Here is a 25,076-nt window from a genome sequence, read left to right as displayed (position 1 = left end):
TCAGTATGGGCACTATTCAGTCAAAAAATAACATGTTGGCAAGGATTGGGAGAAAGGGGAATGCTTATACATTATTGATGGGAATGTAAATTAGTTCAACCCCTGTGGAAAACACCATGGAGATTTCTCAAGAAATAAAAGCTGAACTATCATTTGATCCAACAATCCTACTATTGAGTATCTACCTTCCCAAAATAAATTTTCTCAAAAGGCACCTACATTATGTATGTTTATCACAGCACTATTCACAATAGAAAAGTCGTGAGATCAACCTGAGTTTCCAGCAATGAAGGAGACATGTGTATATATATATGTATATATATATACACACACACATATACACACACACACACACACACACACTTATGTATACACCATGGAATACTACTCAGACACAAAAGGATTAAAAAATCACGTGATTTTCAGCAACATGAATGGGACTTAAGGCCACTATCCTAAGTGAAGTGCCTCCAAAACAGAAAGTCAAAAACTGCATGTTCTCATTAACAAGTGGGAGTTAAACAATGGGAGCATAAGGACATAAAGATGCAAACTATAGACACCAGGGACTCCAAAATGGGGGCAGAGGGGAAAAGGGAAAAGTGGAAAAAAGACCCAATGTGTACTATGCTTACTGTTCTGGTAATTGGTTCCACAGAAGCCCAAACCCTAGCATTAAGCAATATACCTATGTAACAAAGCTACGCATGTACCCATTGATTCTAAAATAATAACTTTTAAAAAGTCAAATTGAGAAAAAAGAAGAGCGTTCCCCTGAGAGCATTTGCTGTTCTATGGAATGTGTGCTGAGATTTCAAGACTTTCTGTGGTGTGAGAGAAAGAGCTAAGGATCCTAAACCTGCCTAAAATTAGGAGACTAAGACGAGAGCACCCCCACCCCTGCCATTAAGCTGAGACACTCATAGTGTTGCAACCTGAAGTTAAGGATGAACCAAAAATAAACTACGCGCACACACACACACTACATGGGTGTGTAATAATAAAAGGACTGCATGAAAATGTAACTACAGCCTGACCTTTTGCAGCCTTGTAGTTCTAGTCCTCATTATCTGCATAGCTCAAAATAACTCAAATAAGTTCATTTAAAGTGGTCCTAGACTGGTAGTGGCTACCAGGTACTTGGTAGAAATGAAGATAAATCTCCTAATTCCCCTCTGTCTTGCTTTATTAGAGGTTTCTGCTTCCTGGAGAAATCTTGTATAATAGCCTATCAACTAGAAGGCCTCTGCTGAGTTGTTCCACCTGATATGGCCTTGGAGATTCTATGAGTCTCTCCTCAGGACCAAGGCATTTATTCCTCCAGCTTCGGAGGATGGTGCATGCTGAAGGTTGAACAATGAACCCCGTGTTAATCCGTTTTCATGGCGCTGATAAAGACATACCGGAGAAGGGGCAAATTACAAAGGAAAGAGGTTTAATGGAGAACTCACAGTTTCAGGCGGCTGGGCAAGCCTCACAATCATGGTGGAAGGTGAAAGGCATGTCTGACATGGTGGCCGACCAGAGAAGAAAGCTCGTGCAGGAAAACTCCCCCTTATAATTACCATCAGACATGGTGAGATTTATTCACTATCACAAGAACAGCACAGGAAAAACCTGCCCCCATGATTCATTTACTTCCAACGGGCTCCCTGGCACAACATGTGGGAATTCAAGATGAGATTTGGGTGGGGAAAAGTCCAAACCATATCAAACCCTAATATCGGTATTTCCCTGGGTGGAAAAAAGCTGCCACCTATCAAGTCATGAAGCAGCCTGCATACGAAGACTGATTGATTCTGGTTCAGTGAGTGCATTTCTGAAGGACTGCCTGAGTTTCAGCACTCAGCTCAGTGTCTCTTTATGCCCAGTGCTGCTGTCCTCATTGATGACGCTCCTCAGAGTATTCCTTAATGAACCTCTGACATGGAACTCTGAATCTCAGCAACAGTTTTCCAGGAAACCCAACTTCTGGCGTGGCTCTGCATATCTACTGCTATCCAGGCAGAAACTGGCCCTAACTGGCCTTTGGTCTTGTTCTGACAACTACTGGTGATAACCGCAGTCCTTGATAAGTTCCCTCATTGAAGTTCCACACACTCTGTACCCTACTCATTTTGACCCCAGGACTCTTCCCTTCTAGCACCTTTTAACACTTAGGCAATTATACAGTTGAAATGCATGGGGATATCTGCATTTTCATTTTATCACTTGCAGGCAGAGATAGGAGTTATATCTTGGGGACTTTCATGGCTTAACCATGTCATGCCACCATTTATACGTAAGTATAGCCACCCAAGCTCCCAAGGTATGCTTTGATGTAGAATCCAGACAGAATTCTAAATAGGATAGTTGACATGTTTTGATTTATTATTCTTCCTGAACCCATCTGGTATTTTGGATATCTCACCTCTATCTTCCATGTGGTTAGCTGAGGGTTTGGGGAGAATTACATCTCCTTTTAGGGTTCTAGGTAGGATATTTACCATAATTACAAATTTTCTCTATTCTCTGCTTATTTCTCCAGGTTTCTCTCCATTCCAAGGTTTAGAATGACATTTTCATTGCTCATGTGACAGACTCCATTTATGTCTTACCCTATTATTCCACCACGTACAGTAAAAATTGCTGTGAGTTATCTAAACCCTTTCCTTTTTTATCTAAAAAACAAACAAAACCAAAACAAAGCAAAAAGTATCTCCCACTTTGTTCAATGAAAATTTTAGCTTTCGCATTATTTTTCTTTAAAACTAATCTTAAGCTTTCTCCAGAAATTGAATAGTGAATATTCTCCCTATGTTCTGTTCTAACCTCTCGAAAAATGGCTATATCCACTTTATTGGGTATACTTTGTCTCAGGAGCGTATGAATCACCAGTAATAAAATATTCAAATCCACAAGGAAAACTAAGTAAACTTTCATTTTGAGAAAGATCTTGGCCTTTCTGAGGCCTTATTTTCCAGAGAGAGTCTAACACTTACTGAGTCATCCCACTTAGGATAGGAAAGCTCTCTGGACTTACAGGGTGACCAAGACAGCCTTAAAATGCTCCCCTGCTTGACTAAACTTTAGACAGGCTTCCTCCTGCATGAAGTCCCCTGACCTGCCTTTTCTTAGAGCATTTACTTTAGAAATTTGTCATCGCAAAGTTTATCTGCCCCTTTGAGATTCAGATTTTTTAAAAGGCTTTTTAACAGTTTTATACCACAGTAATATCTTTCTCAACCACTTAGGGGGCATCCCTTTGAAATGTCATTGTCAAGGAAGACAGCACTGTCCTTATCTCTCAGTCTTTGTGGGAGGGTAGGAGTTGAACTTCTGGGGGCATATTGCTCCAAGTTGTAAAACTGGCTCTGTCATAAAGAGAGAAGAAAGGTTACTTTCCACTTTCCATTGGCTAAAGTGAACCAGCAAAGAAAGAGGCCTATGATCTCTTCCTGCTCCCCTCCCAGCTCTTAACAACTCTCCAGCCTTTGGTCTCCACGAAGCAGGGGTACCCATACTTCGTCTGTGCCCTCTTCCCTATTGGTGGCAACAAAAACAACTCGTGTGGATTTATGGTCCAGTGTGATATTTTTCTTTAACAAGAATCAGATCATAGGGGTATATGTGAAAGCTAGTCGCTTGGTTGGAAAGACTTCTATCAAACCATTGAAAGGTGAGGTTTTCTCTTTCTGCTGAGTAGCATCTATGTGTTCACATTCTGGCTGAGTCAAACCACATGCTCAAATATTTTCACTGAAGCCTGAATATATTTTGTAGAACCTCTGCCACAGAAGGAAATAGCTGGGTTCTCAAAGAAACATGCCTGGTATCTCAACTATAGCAGTGTCTTCAGTTGCTCTGTAGGTTAGTTAGGAAATTTAGTTTTGTTTGCTTACAATGCAAGTCATCAGATGAGGATCTGTACTCATCAAGAAGTATTCGTTGGTGTTTAAATATATCATTAGGATTGTAAAAATAATTATTGCTAAGATATGATGAAATCATAAGTAAAAGAGTCATAAAATGTCAAAATTAGAAGGAATACTTAAGTGGTATTTTAAAAACAAAATTCTTATTTTGAGACCCTAAACTATGTGATGTCTCCTGGCCAGGGCAACGTCTTCATATGTACACTCAGGCCCTGGAAGAATAGCTGTGTTGTATAAGGCATCACAGGTGTTAAGCAAACAAATATGTGCCCAATAGGTTCCTTGGTCATTTTCACCCACTGGTTCTCGTTCAAACAATTCAAACTCTGAATATCAAATGCATTTTCTTTTCTAAATGATTTTTTTTAAAGTTTGGTAAACATCATCTCCCTACCTTAAGCTGCCTGTCTAATTAACACATTCATGCTTTCCGTTCTCTTCTCAAAGAAAATTATTCCTCCTTAAAGGTTATATCCTTCGAGAATATAACAGTCCTTTAAATGTTCTTTGTAAGATATTTCAATTATTTAGTGAAGACTGTCCTAAATAGAATACCCCAGAATTTCTTATTATCATGTTGAAAATGTAGTAGTCAGAATTAACAATACTCACATATTATCTGAACAGAAATATCTGAACAGAAATAATACACACTCAGTTGAGTTCCGCTTTCTTTTATTCTGAGCTTGCCTGATTAGTGTTCTTGAAAGCCACATCACAGGCTAGCTCACATTGAATTTACTGTCCTGTAAATCACTTAAATATTTTTGTCACATGCTGATGCTAATTCAGTGCTTATATCATTTGCAATTTGGATCCAAGTATGGTATCTTCCATGTGTGCCTCTCTACTACATTTAATTTGTTCAATTCAGCCCATCCTTACAGTATTGTAAGATCATTTCTGTATTATAATTATTCTGCAATGCATTCACTAATCCTTCAAGATTCCAGTGACCCACAAATCTAATGAACATAGGAGCTTGTTCTCTATATGCTCATCCAAGTTACCGATTAAAATGTTTACTAGAACACAATTGAAGACACAGTTCTGAGACCTCTGTTCAAAACGATACCAAGCTTATAATCTTGTTTCGCATTTTTACTTTTTAATGCGTTGTTAATATATTTAATTAATGGTCTTTGCATATAGACTATATAATAAAAATGCATGTAATGACATTGGCAATAAACAATGAGAACATAATTTTTATTAAAAAGATGAAAAAACAATTATCTGCTACTTATTTCTTATATGGCTTACATAAGGGATCTAAAAAGCAAAAGTAATTTTTCTAAAAAAAAAAGTAATTTTAAAAAAAATTGCATGCCATGGCTCCCTGTAAGCTGTTGTTCCTAAAAATCATATATATATATATGATTCGATACGTATTTTATATATATATGATTCAACATTTCATTGTGTCTATTTATATACACATATATATAGGATTCAAGAATTTGTGATAAATTTGTGATATTGATATATATATATACACACACATACACACTGAAATATAGGATTCTCTCTGTCTCTCTCTCTCTATATATATATATACTATATATATTTTCAAGGTTTTATGCATATAGAAATATATGTGTTTTAGGGAAGAATTCTGTTTACATATTTTATAAGTTTCTTATAATTTTCACAAGGCAATTTTTGACCCTTTCTAAAATGTTTATGAAGTATTTCTTAAAGCTTAAAAATAAATATAATCCCTAATGTCACTATATCCAGGATGGAGAAATTCTGATATTTATCAAAAGCACCAAGTGAACTAAAGTGATAGGGTACAGCTTTCAAAAAGAGCAAAGTATAACTATTAGATAATAATTTATTATGTAGTTTTCTTTGAGTATAGGTAAAATGGATATTGTGTTCTATTTTCCCTATTACAGTGTGTTTTGAACTTCAACAAGTTTGTGTTTAATTCTTTGTCATTTACTCTAAGTGTGATTTTGGACTGTACTTGAGCTTTGTAAACTTGGGTTTTCTCATCTTTAAAAGTGAGATAATAAGAAGGCTGTTTATATAGAGTTGTGAGCATAAAATGATAAGATGTATGTAAAAAATATAACATGACAGGCATATAATAAGTATTTTCAATGTGTTTATGTTCTCAGGGATTTGTGTTGTTTCTAGCACTGTTACTGGAAAGAGGTCTTGATCCAGACCCGAAGAGAGGGTCCTTGGATGTTGAGCAAGGGAGAATTTGGGGTTAATTCATAGAGTAAAGTGAAAACAAGTTTATAAGAGAGTAGAAGTCTAAAAAAATGGCTACTTCATGGACAGAGCAGTGGCTTGAGCTGCTGGCTACATGATACTTATAGCTATTTCTTGATTATATGCTAAACAAGGGGTGGATTATTCATGTTTTCTGGGAAAGAGGTAGGCAATTCCCCGAATGAGGATTCTTTCCCAGTTTAGACCATATAGGGTAACTTCCGGACATTGCAATGGGATCTGTAACCTGTCATGGTGCTTGTGGGAGTGTCTTTTAATGTGGACACATTGTAATTAGTGCATAATGAGCAGTGAGGACGACCCACTCTTGGGGTCAGTGAGGAGGATACTCTTGTCGCCATCTTGGTTTTGGTGGGTTTTCACCGGCTTCTTTATTGCAATTTGTTTTATCATCAAGGTCTCTACGACCTGTACAGACCTCCTGTCTCATCCTGTCACTAAGAATGCCTAACCTGGGAATGCAGCCCAGTAGGTCTCAGCCTTATTTCACCCAGCCCTCATCAAGATGGAATTGCTCTGGTTCAAATGCCTCTGACAGTACTATGCTGTTTTCAGACTGTTTTGTGATACCCTTCTTTCATTCATTTTACAAGAGGGTAGGGCCTGGAGACATCCTCCTCATTTTGTTAGTTATACGGCATTGAGAAAACAATAGAAGAATGGCTGGGTACAAGAGCATGGCGCAGGCGTCGTAGGCTTTCCAGGATTAAGAAAGATAAATCTAAGCATTATTGGAATAGCTTTGACTAATTCGCCATATCCACAGCTCAGATGAAGATCTAGAACCACACAATGATTTCCCTGGCATATGCATGCATTACTTGGAGATTGATTCCAGGAATGATCTGGAACCCTGTATTTGTTAAGGTTAATTCAGTAAAGTGTATCATAGAGAACTGTTCTCACGGTCAGGTCTTTATCTTCAGAGAAGGTATCCTAACACTGAATCATCTGAGTTACTTACTACTGTGCCGAAATCGCCATATTTCAGTATGTACAGAGCCAAAAAGAACAAAATGATTAAGATTTTGTAAGTACTTACCTTTGAAGTCAAGAAGACTTTTGCGGCTCAGAGGTCCATGTCTAACATTTTACATTATAGTAAATCTCCAAATCTACAGAACTCTACTCATTTGTAATTCAGTGAATCCTGTTCCTAATTTACTCCCCTGCTCTACAGAGACAATACATTTGAGAACTAAATGTAATGTGAAAACCTCTTTTACAAATTCTGAAATCGAATAAAAGTATAAATAAAATTAACAGCATTTCTAAACATGGCAGTCTAAATATAAACCTGTCTGTATAGTTTATATGTTGCAGCTTGAATATTCTCTACTTTTCCATTTTCAAATGAACAATGATCTGATTCAAATTAGTTTATTTTTGTCTGGTTAATTTTCTATGTGTGTATTGCCTTATTTTTTAAATCTTGAATACAAATAAAATGTTAAATATCGTCATTTAAACAGTACCTTTTAATATATCACTAGCAAAGCCATCTGCTAAATTCAATGACATTTTAAGTTTATTAAGTCTTGTCTTCTGCAAGATATTATCATCCCCTCCAGAAGTAATAATTAATAATACTCAAACATTAAGCCCCTCTTTTAAGCATCTTATAAGATAATTGACAGGAAGGCTATAACTATATGCACAGCTAAAATAAGAAATTATTCCTGCAGATAGGTTGTGCTATCTATGTTGTAATCTTCCCATCATTTACTGGGATATCGTGGAGATTTTTGGATATTATGTATATAGCATGCTTTGAATTATAGAATGTCAATTTAAAATGGTGAAAATTAAAATTTTAGCTTATATGTTTACCCATGCATTCAGCAAAATATGTTAGGCTCCTAGAACACAGAAAATTGTTTGTATGTTTGCCTCTCACCAAAGATTGTTTTACTTTTCAATCTACTGTTCTTTTAAATAAGAGGGGTGCCTCATTCATGCTCTTTTTTCCAGAGCATAAAATGGGGCGTGGTACATACAAGATGCTCAGTAAATGTTAGGAGAACTAATTAAATGAGTATGCAAGTGAATTTAAAAACATCTGACTTTTGTATACTACAGGATTGCTATAAGTTTCATAGTCAACTAAAGGTCCATATTTTCACATGTTATATATTTAGAAGCACTGTACAATATAAAATATCATTATTGTCATGAATATTAGTTCATTATTTCCTAAAATATATGCAGGTAGGTGCCATATGCCTTCATGAAGGTCAAGAACAAATCCTTGCAGCATTATTTTCTGCTCACTCATCTAACCACTACAAGCTGGATTCTAAAACTTTCCTGCCTACACCTTATATTATACCTAGACAAATCTAGTTTTCATTCATTTCACATATTGTGCCTTCTCCCACCTCTGTTCCTTTACTTAAATCGTCCTTGACATTTGGAAGAAAATAATCCGTGCATCTTTTCCATTCCAGATTCCTGTCTTCTGTAAGCACTCAGCCGAAATTTTACTTATTCAGAGAACATCCCTCATTAACTCAGGCCCACAAGCCTTCCACTCACTTATCGGAAAGAATAATCAATTCTAATTTACATGCATAAGAATCTCTGGCCAGCAGTGCTTTGGGCAACCATAGTTTTTCCTATTATGGTTTTGAGAAAACAGTGAATTACATTTGTGTACCCCAAGTTTCAAATCTGCAGTTTTTGTATGTTTCATTTATTTTGTCCTGTCGAAAATTCAGCACGTTTAATATTTTTCTTCTACTCCAGTTACTGCGTGAGTAGACTCATGTTGGATTCCGCAGGGAAAAACTTTCTAAGATCTGTTAGTTTTCTTTACCACACTCACTATGTGATTAGGTCTAGGCCATGAATTCTTTCCCTTAAAATATTAATAGTTCCTTTGAATTTAACGTAAATTTCTCATAATTTATCTCATAGCAAGGGGAAGGATAAGTGTGGGAAGCACAGTATACCGAGCTAAAAAGACTAAGATCACCCCCTCAATGCCTAACAAAGCATTTGTGGGGAATTCAACTTAAAAATCATGATACTGAAGTTCTGAGGAGGTAATTAGGGTTAATTTTGAAACAGATATATTCCAAGAATTGCATTTACTGTGACACTATTTTATGTGTATATGTGTACACAAAGGTATATTATGGATATTAAATATATGTGATTATATATAAATATGCATACTTTATTAGTAATATATACAAAGTTGTTGGCATTTTTTAAAGGTTTCTTTTCCCTGCATAATAATTTTTATCAAAATTGCTTGTTTCTATTTTTTTTGTTGTTATTGTTCTGTGGACATTTCTTAGATTGAGATGTCTGGCAATTCTTAGTTATGTGTTCATATTCAAAATAGGGTATTAAAAATTGGTTGGCCATATGATATGCGGTTGAGAATTGTCAATAGTGATCCTAACTGCAGAATTATCTGGCTTGGTTGTTTTCCCTAAGGAATTCTCAAGAAATAATACTTTCGGGATAATTACCAGAATTCCTAGAGCAACCTTGCTTGAAAGTCAAGCTGGAGAAGAAATATGGGGCAAAAGAAAATCCCTCAACAGTCACTGCTCTCTGTTTCTGCATTCTGAGCAACGCAATTCTTCAGTTCTTCTCCCTAAAGACATAGAATCTGCTTCTCTATGTCTTGAATCACGGCTGGATTTGTGACCCATTTTGGCAAATAGAACGGAGCAGACATGATGGAAGTTCATAGCTCTTTAGCATCACAGTTGGTCAGAGCCAGTTGTAGTAAAATGCATAATTCCGTTTTGATATCGTTCAAGCAAATAGTGCTATAGGTAGAAAATCATTCTTTTAAACCTTAAAAATTTTTATTTCATTCATGCTCCTCCATCAGTTTCTATGTTTTCTGCTTATTTTCTCTAGAACCCTGGTTCCAATTATATACATATGTATGTGTTAAATATATATATATGTGTATATTTAACACATATATATGTATATAATTGAACATCTCTTCTAGGGTTTTGGGTTGGCAAACATTTTCTATAAATGACTAGACTTATCCATGAGGCCCAGTAAGCAGAGGCTCTCAGAAACATAGATAGGTAGATAGATAGACGGATGATAGATAGATAGATATTATAAATACATAAATATAAATAATATATTTTACTGAGACAGAGAGCTATTCCATGGAAGCAGAGAGCAGAGAGAGCTAAAAATCATCTATCTATATAGACCAATAGATATCTATCTCTATATATACCTGTAGATATATAGCTATATCTGTATATCTATAAATCATTACAGAGAGAGAGAGAAGGGCTAAGAAATTTAAAAGTACTGGGGTTCACAAAAATCATAATGTGGGACCTGGGTCCAGGTAGCAAACATTTCAGTCTCTTTGGGTAATGTGGCCTTTGCCATTGTAGAGTAAGAATAATTACACACAGTGCTTAAACAAAAGAGCATGACTGTGTCAATTATGCATTATTTACTAATTCGGTTGATAGGCTGAATGCATCTGCAAGCCATAGCTTGCTGACCTTTGCTGTTCTTCATCCTTCCTACCTCCTTCCTGCATCCCCAGCCTCACTGATATCCTCATTCCTCTTCTTTCCCAGATTAAATGCCATTGTCAGTCAGTATAATTACTGTCCTCACTGCACACTTGTTTACTCAGCCCCTGTTTACTTCCTTATTTCTGCTGTGCAAAACTTCAACCCTAGTTAAATACAATTATCTGCCTACTCCATGCCCATATCTATGCAGCAGGTAAGGCTGAATGCAGACACATTCTACTTTGCATGTATGGCTGGTCCCACAATAAACAGAGGACCACAAACCTCAAGTGGGCCCTTAAGGCTACCAGTCAATCCTATGGACTTTCTTCAACACAAAGACTCCCCGATGCTCCCGGATGTCTATTTCACAACTTCTCGCTTATCAATCCCCTGAACCTCCTCTTCCTTTTCTTAACGAATGGCATTTGCAACTTCACCTACGAAACTGCCTGAGTTAGAACAAAAATTCAGTTGCCAAATATACCCACAGATTAACTATCAATATTTTGCTCTGTACGAAATCAAGCTTGTTAGCATAAAAACATGGTTTTATTTGTCCCATATTTTTATATATATATATAAATTTTTGTTTTGTTTAGTTTTGTTTTTGTTTTGAGACGGAGTCTTGCTCTGTCACCCAGTCTGGAGTGTAAATTTTTGTTTTGTTTTGTTTTGTTTTTCTTTTGAGACGGAGTCTTGCTCTGTCACCCAGTCTGGAGTGTAGTGGCGCGATCTCGGCTCACTGCAAGCTCCGCCTGCCGGGTTCACGCCATTCTCCTGCCTCAGACTCCGCAGCGGCGCTGGGACTGCAGGCGGCCACCGCCATGTCCGGCTAATTTTTTTTGTATTTTTAGTAGAGATGGGGTTTCACCATGTTGGCCAGGTTGATCTCGATCTCTTGACCTCGTGATCCGCCCGCCTCGGCCTCCCGAAGTGCTGGGATTACAAGTGTGAGCCACCGCGCCTGGCCTATGTATATATAATCTTGATCAACTTTTCTTTCTAGCTTCTCTCCTATTTCTTTGTACCAAACGGCCAAAAAGGAAAGGTCATATTTGTTCAGTCTACTTCTTTCTTTTATATCCAACAGATGTTTTTCCCTCACTGCATCACTAATAACCTCCAACTGCTGAATTCACTGATTTCTCAGTCTCGTCTTAGGTAACCTATTTGCTGATTTGAGCACAGGTGATCACTCCCTCCTTCCTAAAACACTTTCATTGGCTTTTAGGACAGCAACATATTTTGGCTTTCCTCTTATGTCACTGCCTTGTCCTTTTTTGTGTCCTTTGCGGGTGTCTTTGCTTCTCTTTAATGTTTTTAATGTTGGAAAGATCCAAAGTGAAGCGTTGATCTACTTTTCTCTTCTACAGTCACTCCTGTGTCATCTCATGTCCTCAGGGCTGTGGTCTCATGATCTCAATTACCATCTATTTATTCCCCATTAAATTTCTGCCAAATCCGTCTTCCCAGTTGCTCAGGACAAAAATTTGAAATAATTCTTTACTCTTCTTTTTCTCTGCCACTTCACACTTCAATCCCCAGAAATATTTTCTTCAAAATTTATCCAGATACTGAAGAATTCTCATTCTCCCCAATGCTACACCTCATCACATTTCCCCTAGATTAGTGCAGCATTCTGTTAATGGTATTCTCTGCTTAGTACCTTGCGAAGACTTCCCATTTAATTTCATAAAACCTAAAGTTCTTACACTTATCTGTAAAGACCCCATATTCTGTGCTCTGTTTACCAGTTAACCTCATTTTCTTCTTCTTTTTTTTTTTTTTTTTTTTTTTTTTTGAGACGGAGTTGCCCAGGCTGGAGTACAATGGGGCGATCTTGGCTCACCACAACCTCCGCCTCCCAGGTTCAAGCAATCCTCCTGCCTCAGGCTCCCAGGTAGCTGGGATTACAGGTATGTGCTACCACACCCGGCTAATTTTGTATTTTTAGTAGAGGTGAGGTTTCACAGTGTTGGTCAGGCTGGTCTTGAACTCCTGACCTCAGGGGATCCTCCCAAAGTGCCGGGATTACAGGCGTGAGCCATCTTCATTTTGTCCACCTTCAACAACGACCTTGGCCCACTTCCTGTTCTGTGAATTGGCCAGGTATGTTTCTCTCAGTGATTTTGCACAAGATATTCCATCTGCCTGGAATGTTTTTTGAAACATCTCCTTAATTAATACCTTCATCTTCTTGAATCTTTGTCAACTTCTTAATGCTATCCTGAACAACCCAGCTAACACAGCAAACCAATCCCTCCCCTCCCAATTTCCTGCAGCCCTCTTCTTTTGCTTTTTTAAAAATGTTTGTTGTTTTATAATGTATACATAACTTAATTACTTACCATATTTGCTTGTCTTTATTTTTCCCACATCCTTTTTTTTTTTTTTTTTTTTTTTTTTTTGAGGCAGAGTCTCACTCAGTTGCCCAGGCTGGAGTGCAGTGGCGCCATCGCGGCTCACTGCAACCTCTGCCTCCCCGGTTCAAGCGATTCTCCTGCCTCAGCCTCCGGAGTAACTGGAACTACAGGCATGCGCCACTAGGCGCAGCTAATTTTTGTATTTTTAGTAGAGACGGGGTTTCATCATGTTGGCCAGGCTGGTCTCAAACTCCTGACCTCAAGTGAACTGCCCGCCTCAGCCTGCCAAAGTGCTGAGATTACAGGCGTGAGCCACTGTGCCTGGCCCCACATACTATTATATAATAAAATCTCTCTGCAGACATGGATCTCGTCTGTTTTGTTCACTGATGTATCTCTCCCAAGTGCTGGGCTAGCACTTGCCACTTAAAAAATGTTGTTAAATGAATAATTTTAAACAGACCTAGAGCAAGAAAAGAATAACATGATTAAAGTTAGAATAAACATGAACAATTTCCTTTGCTCTGTTAATTTAAATTTAGAAATTAAAATGTAAATATCCATTTATAACGTATTTCTTTGCAAACACAGATGCACACTTCCTCGTACATTTATTTGAAATAAATAGAAAAAGAAACCACTTAAGGCAATTAAGCACCTGGCCTTTCCATTTTACGTATTAGTTTGTTTTTCTGCTTGCTTACTTGTCCCATATGCAATACCACGTGACCTTTCGGATTTATTTTCTGACTCAATGGAACAGATAATGATAATTATTTACACAAAATAGAAGAGAAGAAAAAATTGAATGGCTCAAATTTCATTATGAAGGCCTTGTAGATACATATGTTTGCAAAATATGGATTGGTATCAGCCATTAGAAATATTGAAAAGAAATAAAATACCATTGGTAACAATTAATATTTCTTAGTATGCAAAGCAACATAGAAAATGGCTACTCTAACTTTGAATCTGCTGCCAAATTACTCCAATCAAATGGAAGATTGTCTTGATTTTAATTGACTTTATATTAAATCAAAAATTGCTATGTGATCCATAGTCCAGCTTACAAAAAAAAATGTTAGATATACTAAGTAGTCAAGGTAATCCAGTCTTTCTATTCCTAATTAGGCCTAAACTCTGATTTTTTTTTTATCTCACCCAAATTCCCATCTAAGAGGTCTTGGGAGTCATGCCCTACAAACAATAAATTTTCATCAGATAGGTTTTATTTAACCCTATATATCATGACTTCTTTCCCAACCTGACTCTGGCATAACATTACAAGATGAGGAATAAAATGAAAATATTTCACCCCCAAAACATGTGTTTTTTTGGTCATATTTTGAAATGGTCCTGCAAGCCATCCTTTGCGGGGGAAAATTCACATCTGTAAAGAATCCCTACTAAGGTAGCCAGATCTTTTCCTTCCAGGCCCCTCCAGTTCTGAATAGATTAACTGAGAGTCTAGCACCTTTGACAGGGTCTGAATAGGAAACATTTGTCATCTCTTGTTTCTAAGGGCAGTCATTATGAGACTTCAAAAGATCCTTGGTCTCCACAATTTTTATCTTAACCTGAACATTTTCTTTCTATTGATCTCAGGTTCTCAGACAAAAACTCAACCAGTTTTCAACCACAAACTGTATAAATTTACCCATAGCCTGGGAGCCTACCCACTTTCAAGTTGTCCCGCCTTTCTGAAACAAACCATTGTATTCCTTAAATGTATTTGATTGATGTTTCATTGTCTCATGCCTCCTTAAAAATCTATAAAACCAAGCTGCACCCCGACCACTTTGGGCACATGTTCTCAGGACCTCCTGAGAGCTGTGTCGTGAGCCATGGTCACTCATATTTGGCTTAGAATAAATCTCTTAAAATATTTTACAGCGTTTGACTCTTTGTCGACACTAATTTCAAATAATAAAATCAATACTAATATGCTCTGATGATCCTCTGTGCAGCTATTTCAATGTGGTAGCATTGAAAGCATTATATATGTTAAGTCAAAAGATATGATAAATTAGGCAAAAAGGATAACACAAAAAAAATTCTATTTGTCATCCCATTAATGTAATTTCCACTGAACTTCCATTCACTAAGTTTTGAAGTGAGTTTTGAATTGAGATTGATGTTGAAAATATTTTTACACATTTCCCTCTATCTAGGCTGTTGGATTTGTCTTAAAGAATATCCATTATGACACTATCTGCCCTGCTCTGAGAATAATCTCTCTGAGTATACATTTGCCAGATTGGAGTGTTTAATAGCATCTATAAGCCAAGTAGCAAATCTGTGTTGTCAGATCTTACATTACAGAATTCAAACAAATATGTTCCTTAGAGAGCTAGCTTTCTTTATGTATAATAGTGAGATGTGAATATATGCAACTGTCTAAGATTTGTCACTGTTAACATTTTGAGTTCAAGGTTTTCTGAAATATTGAAGAAATACAGGTACACTGATTGCGTATCTGTTTTGCATGACTCTTTGCAAGGAAAGGAAGACTGCAAAACCTCAGTAAGTGCATGCTATGTGATAATCTAGCTCCATTCAATTCATACTGAATGGGTATGAGAGTACATGCAACAAGAGCAGAAGAGAGGGAAAATAAAACTAAATAATTGTTTTTTTTAGCTTTATACATTTTGTTCTAAACAACATTAAAATTTTTAAAAATAGTTTCATTAAATGTCAGCAATATGCTTGTAACAGTTGTTTTACAAAATTCAGAATTTATCATATCCATATGTTCTGGTACACAAAAGTATAATGCATACATCTATCTCATGCACAAGTATGCAAACTTCTCAAATAAATATAAGTAACTTGAATTAAGAAACAGGTGCAAAATAATAAACAATAACTATTATTTTTTTCATCAAGACTTGAAGTATAAAAATTATATATGTTACTCACTACACTGAAAGTTTAAGAAAGAAAATCACAAAATATTATTTTGTGAACTAATATAGGTAATAATTTAACTAAAATTAACAAAACTTAAGGATATATATATATATATATATATATATATATTTACAAACTAAGAATTTAAGGAAGAATCTTTAACCACATAAGGATCTTCCAATGAGTGCTTGTACTGTTAATACACACTAGTTAGTGGTCTCATTTTTATTTCATCAGGAATTCTAGAGAGTCTTTTTTGTCTATACAGAGTCTGAAATTTAAAAAACAAAATATTGTAAGTAGGTGAGGAAATATTGGTCTAGACAAAGTGTCTTTCATAGTTTATTCACTGTTAGAACCATTATGGAAGCTCAGCAATGTGTCTGAATAAAAAATAATGTTCATTTAAATGCAATAGTCTGTATATCGATCACCAATAGCAAGTTAGGAGTAGTAACAAAATATTAAATTATCTGAGAATAGGTTGGGCGCAGTGGCTCACGCCTGTAGTCCCAGAACTTTGGGAGGCCGAGGTGGGTGGATCACCTAAGGTAGGGAGTTTGAGACCAGCCTGACCAACATGGAGAAACCCTGACCCTACTAAAAATACAAAATTAGCCAGGCATGGTTGTGCATGCCTACAATTGCAGCTACTTGGGAGGCTGAGGCAGGAGAATCGCTTGAACCCAGGAGGCGGAGGTTGCGGTGAGCTGAGATTGGGCCATTGCATTCCAGCCTGGGCAACAAGAGCGAAACTCTGTCTCAAAAAAAAAAAAAAATTATCTGAGAATAAATATTTTCAAAAGATGAGCTAAACTCTTTTTGTAGAAAAAAAAAGTACTGCTGCCAGAAATATAAAATATATGAATAACCATATAAATTATCCATTTTTCAAAAATGGAGTCATAAAAATATTAAATCTTCTTCATTGCTTCTGTAATTGATTACCACAAACTTCGTGGCTTTAACAATACAAATTTATTATCTTACAATTCTATAGGTTATAAAAACGGCAACAGTATCTTTGGCCAAAAAGGAAAGTGTCAAAATCACTGTGTTTCTTTCTGGATCTCTATGGGAAAATCCATTTTCTTATTCTTTTCTGTTTCTTGAACATTTTCTCCCACATACCTTGACCCATTGCCCGCTCCCTCCATCTTCAAAACCAGCAACATTTAAATGTAGCCTTTTCTATGACAGTTCTTCTGGATTCACATCTTTATCTCAATACCATCAAGAAAATATTCACATTTTTTTACATGTGGTTGTCTTCCCTCAACTCTGAGCCCCACAACTTGGGGCTGTTCTCCAGAGGTAACTAGAAAGATTTCATAGTTCAAGAAGCCTTGCCCAAGTCAAGGTCTAAAGGTTAATATTATATATGTAATATTATATATATATATATAATTACATATTATATATATATAATTACATATTATATATATTTATATATACTATAGATATAATTATATATATATACTTACATATTATATATATACAAATATATAATGTATAAAGATATACAACATCCGTATATATCAGAAGTGGAAACATGGCATTTATGTTGAATTTTCGGCTTTAAACAACCCTCTTCTCACTTCTATTGTCCTCCTTCTGAACTGCAGAAAAGAGAAAAAGCTGATACCATATTTCCTAGAAGTATTTCCTAGAATTCCCTTCCTTCTGCTATTCTGGGATGAGATTCAGATTCCATACCAAGCAGATGAGGCTAGAGATATCTGGAATGTGCAGACTTGTGATTCATAGTAGCTTCTTGACAGTGATTTGCAAATAACTTTTAAGCTGTAGCTTGAGATTGTTGATGGAAACAAAGAATCCTAAGAATTGCTTGCAGGTTCCTACTGACATTAGGAGAACTACAACTGAGAATCTTTTAATAAAAGTGTCTAGTATCTGTTTCCTTAACTGGCCCGATGTAGCTTCCCTGACTTCTTTGAGTCTCCCCAAACTTCACTCCCCAAGTCTTCTAACACTCACGTAAACCCTAATAGTTATATAAAATCATTATTTTTTAAATCAAATGCAAATTAATATAGTATTTGTTAGATAAATTTTAAAAAATAAAACTGAGAAGGAAAGAACTAATAAATGGTGATTAAACAACATGTTATCCATATTTTAAAAGATAGATTTTTCCTTCATATCCATCATGAACAAAAACCCCAAGTAGAGTAAATTTCTGAATCAGAAGAATAAATGTTACTTTTAAATTAAAAAATGCAATGCATTTATAAAAATGTTAGAGCAAGTATCTTAAAATAGGATAGAAGAAAGCAGTTTTTTTTAATGAGCTAAAACATAAATTTGGAGGCAACTCTCCATATATCTGCATCTACTTTTAAAACTTATAGACAACTTAAATTTATAAAAATGGGTGAAGATAGAGACCACTACTATTCGTCCAATCTCCCCCTTATCCTTTTCTCACTGTAATATGGCTTAGTTTTTATTTGGGGGAGAAAAATACAAGTTAAATGTCAATTTCCCACTTTGAATCAAGTGTAGCCATATGACTAAGTTCAGAACAATGAGTGACAATTAAACTGAGATTTTAAAAATGTTTTCACAAAATTCTAACAGGCAATCGAGAGCAATGAGATCTACAAAGGCAATAAAATGCCAAAATAACCCCACCCTGCTAATCTAATAGTCATGGCAATTAAAAACAAACTGGGGATGAAACTTTATATTTTATATGTATGTTATTATTTTTTGGCAGTACCTTATGATTACAAGGATAGGTACAACTTGAGCTCCTTTACATTGTTGGTAGTGATTTCAGTTTTGATAGTATTTAAGAAAAAATCAGAGAGCAATTTGGCAAAATCTCCAAAAAGCTGTATTATTACCAACTTTTAAAAATTATTTATCCATATTATTAGTTTTGGGATATATTGTTGGTTATAGTGTGGTTGTTTCAGAATTTGCAAAGTTGTTCTATATGTATGTATATATATACCCAAACTATTTCATACATGTCTATCTCTCTTTTTTTGTGTGTATGTATATTTCCAAACTACAGTTACTATGTATCTATATATCATATATGTGTGTTTGTGTGTATATCTTCCCAAAACTACTACTAAAATGGATAAATATATTACATCATAGTTTATTATTACAATGATGTCTTGCTAGTAATTGAAATAAGTAATTAAATGTTTATATAGCCTCATCAAGTATCAAATACAGTGTTGTATGGAAAGAAAATCTCAAAAATTTAGTTAGAATTAGATATTGTGCTTTTCAAGTCATGCTGACTAGGGAACTGCCTTTGAGAAGGTAGGAGAAAGAGTAACAAGGATTAAACAATGTGAAATGTCAGCAACTTATCTTATAATTTTGGTCATGTCACAGCTGACTGTTACATGTGAGCAGTAAAAAAAAGAGTAAGGGCTGTGTTCCATACAGTCATTCAGGTATCAAGCCCCCTTTGATCATGGGGTTCTCCAGCTTTTAGGATCTCCTACTCCTCTGTATTCAGTCAGTAAATGTTGGACAGAGAGTGTAGAGGATTTTCTGTGATCTTTTCAATAGGCTTCATCTTAGGTGGTGTAGGTTGCTTTTACTCACATCATATTGGTCATACTCAGTCTCATGAAAGCAACTAAAGACAAGACTAGTGAATATAATCAGGCAGTGTGATTTGTAGGTAAAGGAAATAGATAAACTGTAAAATCTAATTATATAAAAATACAATTAATGGTTTTTGAAAACATACCTTTATAGTGGATGTGTATTAGTTTTAGCTTCCTAGTGGTGCTGCTATAAAACATTAGCACAAACTTAGTGGATTAAAACAACACAAATATACTACAATAGTTCTATAGGTTAGAAATCTCATTGTCCTTAAATCAGTGTTGGCAAAGCTGCATTCCTTGCTGGAACCCCTAAGAGAGAATTCAATTCCTTGCCTTTTCAAGCTTCTAAAGGCTGCCAATATTCTTGGCTTATGGTCTTTTCCTCCATCTTTAAAGCCTGCAGCACAGCATCTTCAAAAAAACCTCTATCTAACTCCTCTTCTGCCTCACTCTTGCTTTAAAGGACACGTGTGATTGCAGTGGGCCCACTAGGACGCTAGGATAACCCGAAGATAATCTTCCTATTTTAAGCTAATCATCTAATTAGAAAACTTATTTCCATCTACATCTTTAATTCACCTTTACCATGTAACAGGATCTATCCATAGATTCTATGGGTTTGGGTCTGACATTTTGGGGTGGGAACATTATTCTACTTATCACAATATGTAGAAAATTATTGCCTAATGTAAACAACTTGTAATATTTATTGTCTCTCTCTGGATAGATTTCTAGAGCACTTCATCTGTATTTGCAATCCTATGTTTATTTTTAAAATATAGCTGTAATAAACATCACAAAATTATTGGTCAATTCCAGTGGTGCATTCATGCTTTGATATTAATCTTTGTAATTTCCTGCATTTTAATTAGTGGAAATAAAAATATATCACATGTAAATAAATATGAATGAAGTGAAATAATTATAGAGAACTAGTTCAATGAAAAGGAAGAAATAACTTATCTTTCTTTTAAGCATAACTCCTGTAAATTTAAGTGCAGTTTTAAAAGGGGAAAAAATGAGTAGGAGAAAAATAAAAGAATTATGAAATGTACACTAATTATTAAGAAAAAAGCCCATTTGTCAGAAAAGAATAAATTATATGCCATTAAAGAAATTATAAATTATCATTCAAATAAAAAAAAGAACTACAGGAACGTAACTTGACAAAATAGCAAGAATTTCAGATATATTCAGCATAGCCATGTACACACAGAAAATTCTCCCTTAACTTTGAAATTTAAAGTTCCTCCTGAGCTTGGTTGTTGGGGGCGGGTTGTACAGTTCCTGGGAAGAAGGAAGTTCAATTACAATCAGCAAAGTTTTCCACTACCAGCAGTAGGTTTTTGATCTGAGATTGCCACACATGGTTTATGTTCGGTGAAGGGCAGATGTACAAATAGAAAAGCTCTGTGTTAAGCCTTGGCAAATGCCATCAAGAAGGTAGGAGGGCAGAGTAACAAGCAAAGTTGTTACCGTAAAGAGAATATAAATATCTGTCTCTTTGTCCCAACGAAAATGACCATATTGAAAAAGACGTAGAAATGCAAGGTGAAATGGAGAGGGGAACAGGAGGAGAGTCAATTACAAATTAACTTACAATTTTGTAAATTTTGAGATAACTGTAGACTTTAAAATATTTGAGTAAATATTTCTATCTCTAAATGAAATATTATACAAAAATTTTTTTCACACATGTGTCATGGCATTTAGATAATTTATAGTTAGTATTGCACGTCCAGAATAATTATAATTTTAACCACCTCATAGAACAATTATAAAAAGTAGTATTGATTTTTCAGCTAAGAATTTTTAAATGTCTTAAAAACTCTTCATTGAAAAGCTACTTTCTTTGGTAAATTGATTAAGGTTACTCTGGTGACCTGTGAGATGTTTATCATGCTATACTATTCCAGTGCTTTTTGAGGGTATATGTAATGACACTCTTTAAATAACCATGACCGTGGCAGTGAGATCTAGATTATGCTTGCAGGATGTTTTCCTGAAAACCGTGTATGCCAGTTTTTTCAGGCTCCTCCTATTTCTCTTTAATTTTGGACATTTTCAATATCTTCATTGCCTTGAACAGTCTAAATGACTGAGTAATAACGTCAATTGAGAAAACTATTGTTTTCATAAAAAATATATGTCACAGTGCAGCTCTTTTACCTTTTGTTTTTGGATTGTTTAAAGGAAATATAAGTTTAAAAAGCAAGATGGTTTATTTTTCTATGTACAGGCAAAATATCTGAGCTATAGTGATGAATATGAGTATTAAATCTTTAAAGGCAAAAGGAAATTCAAGGAGGTCATCGAATTTCCTTAGACTCATCTATAGTTTCATTTCCCTTTTGTTTTGAATTTTGTTTTATACTCAGCAACATTGCGGTTTACAGACAGAACGTATTTTAAATTCTATTTAATGGCAGAAATGTTATTACTGGAATAAAATTGGACACATTATTCTGCTTTTGAGAAAATAAGAAAAGACTTGTATGACACAACAATATGATTAATTATTAACCTAAAGACAAAAAAGTCAGAGAATATAAAAATGAAATAAATCAACATAAACATGAAACTCTATAAAGGGAGGGTGAAAAATGAAGATAGTTGTGATCTGTGTTGAAGCCTAAAAACAGATGAATAAAAATGAGAGGAATTAATTAAAGGGTATGGATTTCCCTTATGTTAGTTGTTATTTCTATTAATAATGAATAATCTTGTAATGAGTACTGTCACTTTAAACTGTGAGGTAAGTTACACTTGACATGGTTCACATTATTATTTTAATTCTTTATGTCCAAATACGTCATTGTGGTTATCTCTCTTTTCCCATACTTTCATTATTGCTTTCACTTTCAGCACCACCAATACATTCTGGACATAGCTGCAGGAGTGATCTTTTCAAAAATGTAATTTGGATTAAGTATTCTCTAACATAAAATGATTTCAATTCATATTATATTATATTTGTGACTATGGGCATACTCAAAAACCAGATAAACTTTTCAAGTTACTGTTAGGAAACAAAAGCTAAAACTATGAGTCTGCTTAATTTCACTTCTAGGAATAGGTGTTGAGTTTTATTTCTGGTGGACGAGTGGCCATGCACTGCAGGAAATCAAAACGAGGCTCACAGCGCTAAACTACTCACTGAATTGGCCCTTCTGCACCCAGAAACAAAGACTATAAACCATCAGAAACTGAGCCCTATGGCTGTGACTTTTATAGCTACTGCTCCCCTGTGATAGTGAGAGGAAAAATGATAACCATTCAACTTTGTATCGGGCTAGGCTACTTGAGGGATGATCTCTCCCTAGTTTCCTCTGAACAACAGCCCAAAGTTGAGGGGCCCAGGACTGGGGAAAGCAACTATAAAATAATGGGTTGGGAAGAAGTGATCACAGATCTTAAAAAGTAACACCCCCCCACCCCCACCCACCCAATGTGGAAACCAAAACCTATTATAGTGAATAATAAGCTGACAAAGGTTTCAAAGAAAGTGAGAGAAAATAATGGTTTTTACTTATTAAATAAAGTAACTGACAGATCATTACAACAATAAAATGTACATATATATATATGGCTTTTTTGTTTTCAAGAGATGAGGTCTCACTATGTTGCACAGGCTGGAGTACAGTGGATATCCACAGATATCATCATCATAGCTCGTGTACGTCAAACCCCTGGCTTCAAGACATCTCCCAGCCTCAGCTTCCTGAGTACCTAGGACTATAGGCATGCCACCACACCCTGGATGAAAATTTTTCTTTTTCTTTTTTTCTTTCTTTCTTTTTTTTTTTTTTTTTTTTTTTGAGACTGAGTCTCGCTCTGTAGCCCAGGCTGGAGTGCAGCGGCGCGATCTGGGCTCACTGCAAGCTCCGCCTCCCAGGTTCAAGCGATTCTCCTGCCTCAGCCTCCTTAGTAGCTGGGACTACAAGAGCATGCCATCATGCACAGCTAATTTTTGTATTTTTAGTAGAGATGGGGTTTCACCACTTTGGCCAGGATTGTCTCAATCTCTTGACCTCGTGATCCACCTGACTCAGCCTCCCAAAGTGCTGGGATTACAGGCGTGATATACTAAAAACTGTAAATGAACCAAATTAAATTCCTTGTAAAGGAAGATACTATGATTGCCACAGGAAAAAACAAAAGTGAAAACTCAGACTTCCTAAATTAGATATGCTCTGATCTAGTAATAGTCAAAGAAAATTGATCAATTAGTTATACTCAAGAATTCACTCTAAGTTAGCAAAGAGAAACAGTAAAAGAATAGAATAGAAGCCAAGTATAAATCCCTGGATGGGCGATTGAGAAACTCCGTCAAACAATCAATAGGTGTTTTTGAGAAAGAGCATAGACACAATGGCAGAGAAGCTATTATTGAGGGCAATTGCTGAGAATTGTGCTGGCTTTAAGATTAGCATCTCTCTTTCATTTTAAAAGTCCAGTGAGAGCCAAAGGCAATTAACTCAAATAAATCCACACATCTAGACACACTGTAGTAAAACTGTAAGACACTATGTCTTTTAAAAAATCTTTAAATATATTACAAACAAAAAAAATAATTAACTAACCACATGGCCTGAAAGGCCCGTATGACTGAATCTTAGAACCTACCAGGTCTCTAGCTTCTGACAGGGCTTTATTCCTTGGGGTCTAGGTAACTACCATGTTGGCCTTGATCATTTCTTAGAGTAGATCAGGTCATTTCTTAACCCAACCTCTTCCTTTATTCTGTTAGGCAGAAGAATCATGCTTCTACTATACTTCTCATAATTAAGCTCTACTTATTGCTCAAATTTCTGCTTAAATGTTTCTATCTTAGAGAGAACTTTCTTGAGCTATCAACCTAGAACATTTTGTCATGCACACTTACATTCTTTTATTTCATGCACTGTGACCTTCCCCTTCTTTGCAATGAATGGAAGTTGTAATTACTCAATTGTGTTTATATTTTTACATTTTTGAAAAATAATTGTTTAGTACCCAGGCATTATCTGGGAAATATAAAATTTATCTTATGGTCAAGCATTTTTCCTAAGTATTTTCAAAGTGTGATTGTTTTTTGGATGGATCTTCTTGCAGCCTTGCAGTGAAATTCATGAGTGAATTGTTTAAGCAGATAGAACATATGAATGTTTTTTTTCCCTGTAGATTATGCATTAAAAACTGAGTGCTCTATGAAGCCCCTTGACCAGGAATTGCATTTAAAATATTTCTCTTCTTTGTGTGTCTATTCCCTGTTACATATCAACCTGAAAATTTTGAAAGTAACTTCTCTCACATACTCAGTTCCACAGGCTCCTAATTTTAACCAGCAGAGTGGCCAGCTAACTCCATGATGTTCAAACAAAAAACTGTGATGAACACATATTATTTGAGGATTTCTTTCAGGAAGGAAATTTGTCTGATTGGCTCTCTTGAGACCCACTTTGTGTAACAAAATGAGTATCTGCCTTTCATTCTTTGGAATTAATCCGGTTCTTCTGCAAATTCTCTTTGTTTAAA

The sequence above is a fragment of the Homo sapiens genome, chromosome 5 (assembly GCF_000001405.40).
Source record: "Homo sapiens chromosome 5, GRCh38.p14 Primary Assembly".
NCBI lineage: Eukaryota > Metazoa > Chordata > Mammalia > Primates > Hominidae > Homo > Homo sapiens.
This window is presented reverse-complemented; position numbering follows the sequence as displayed.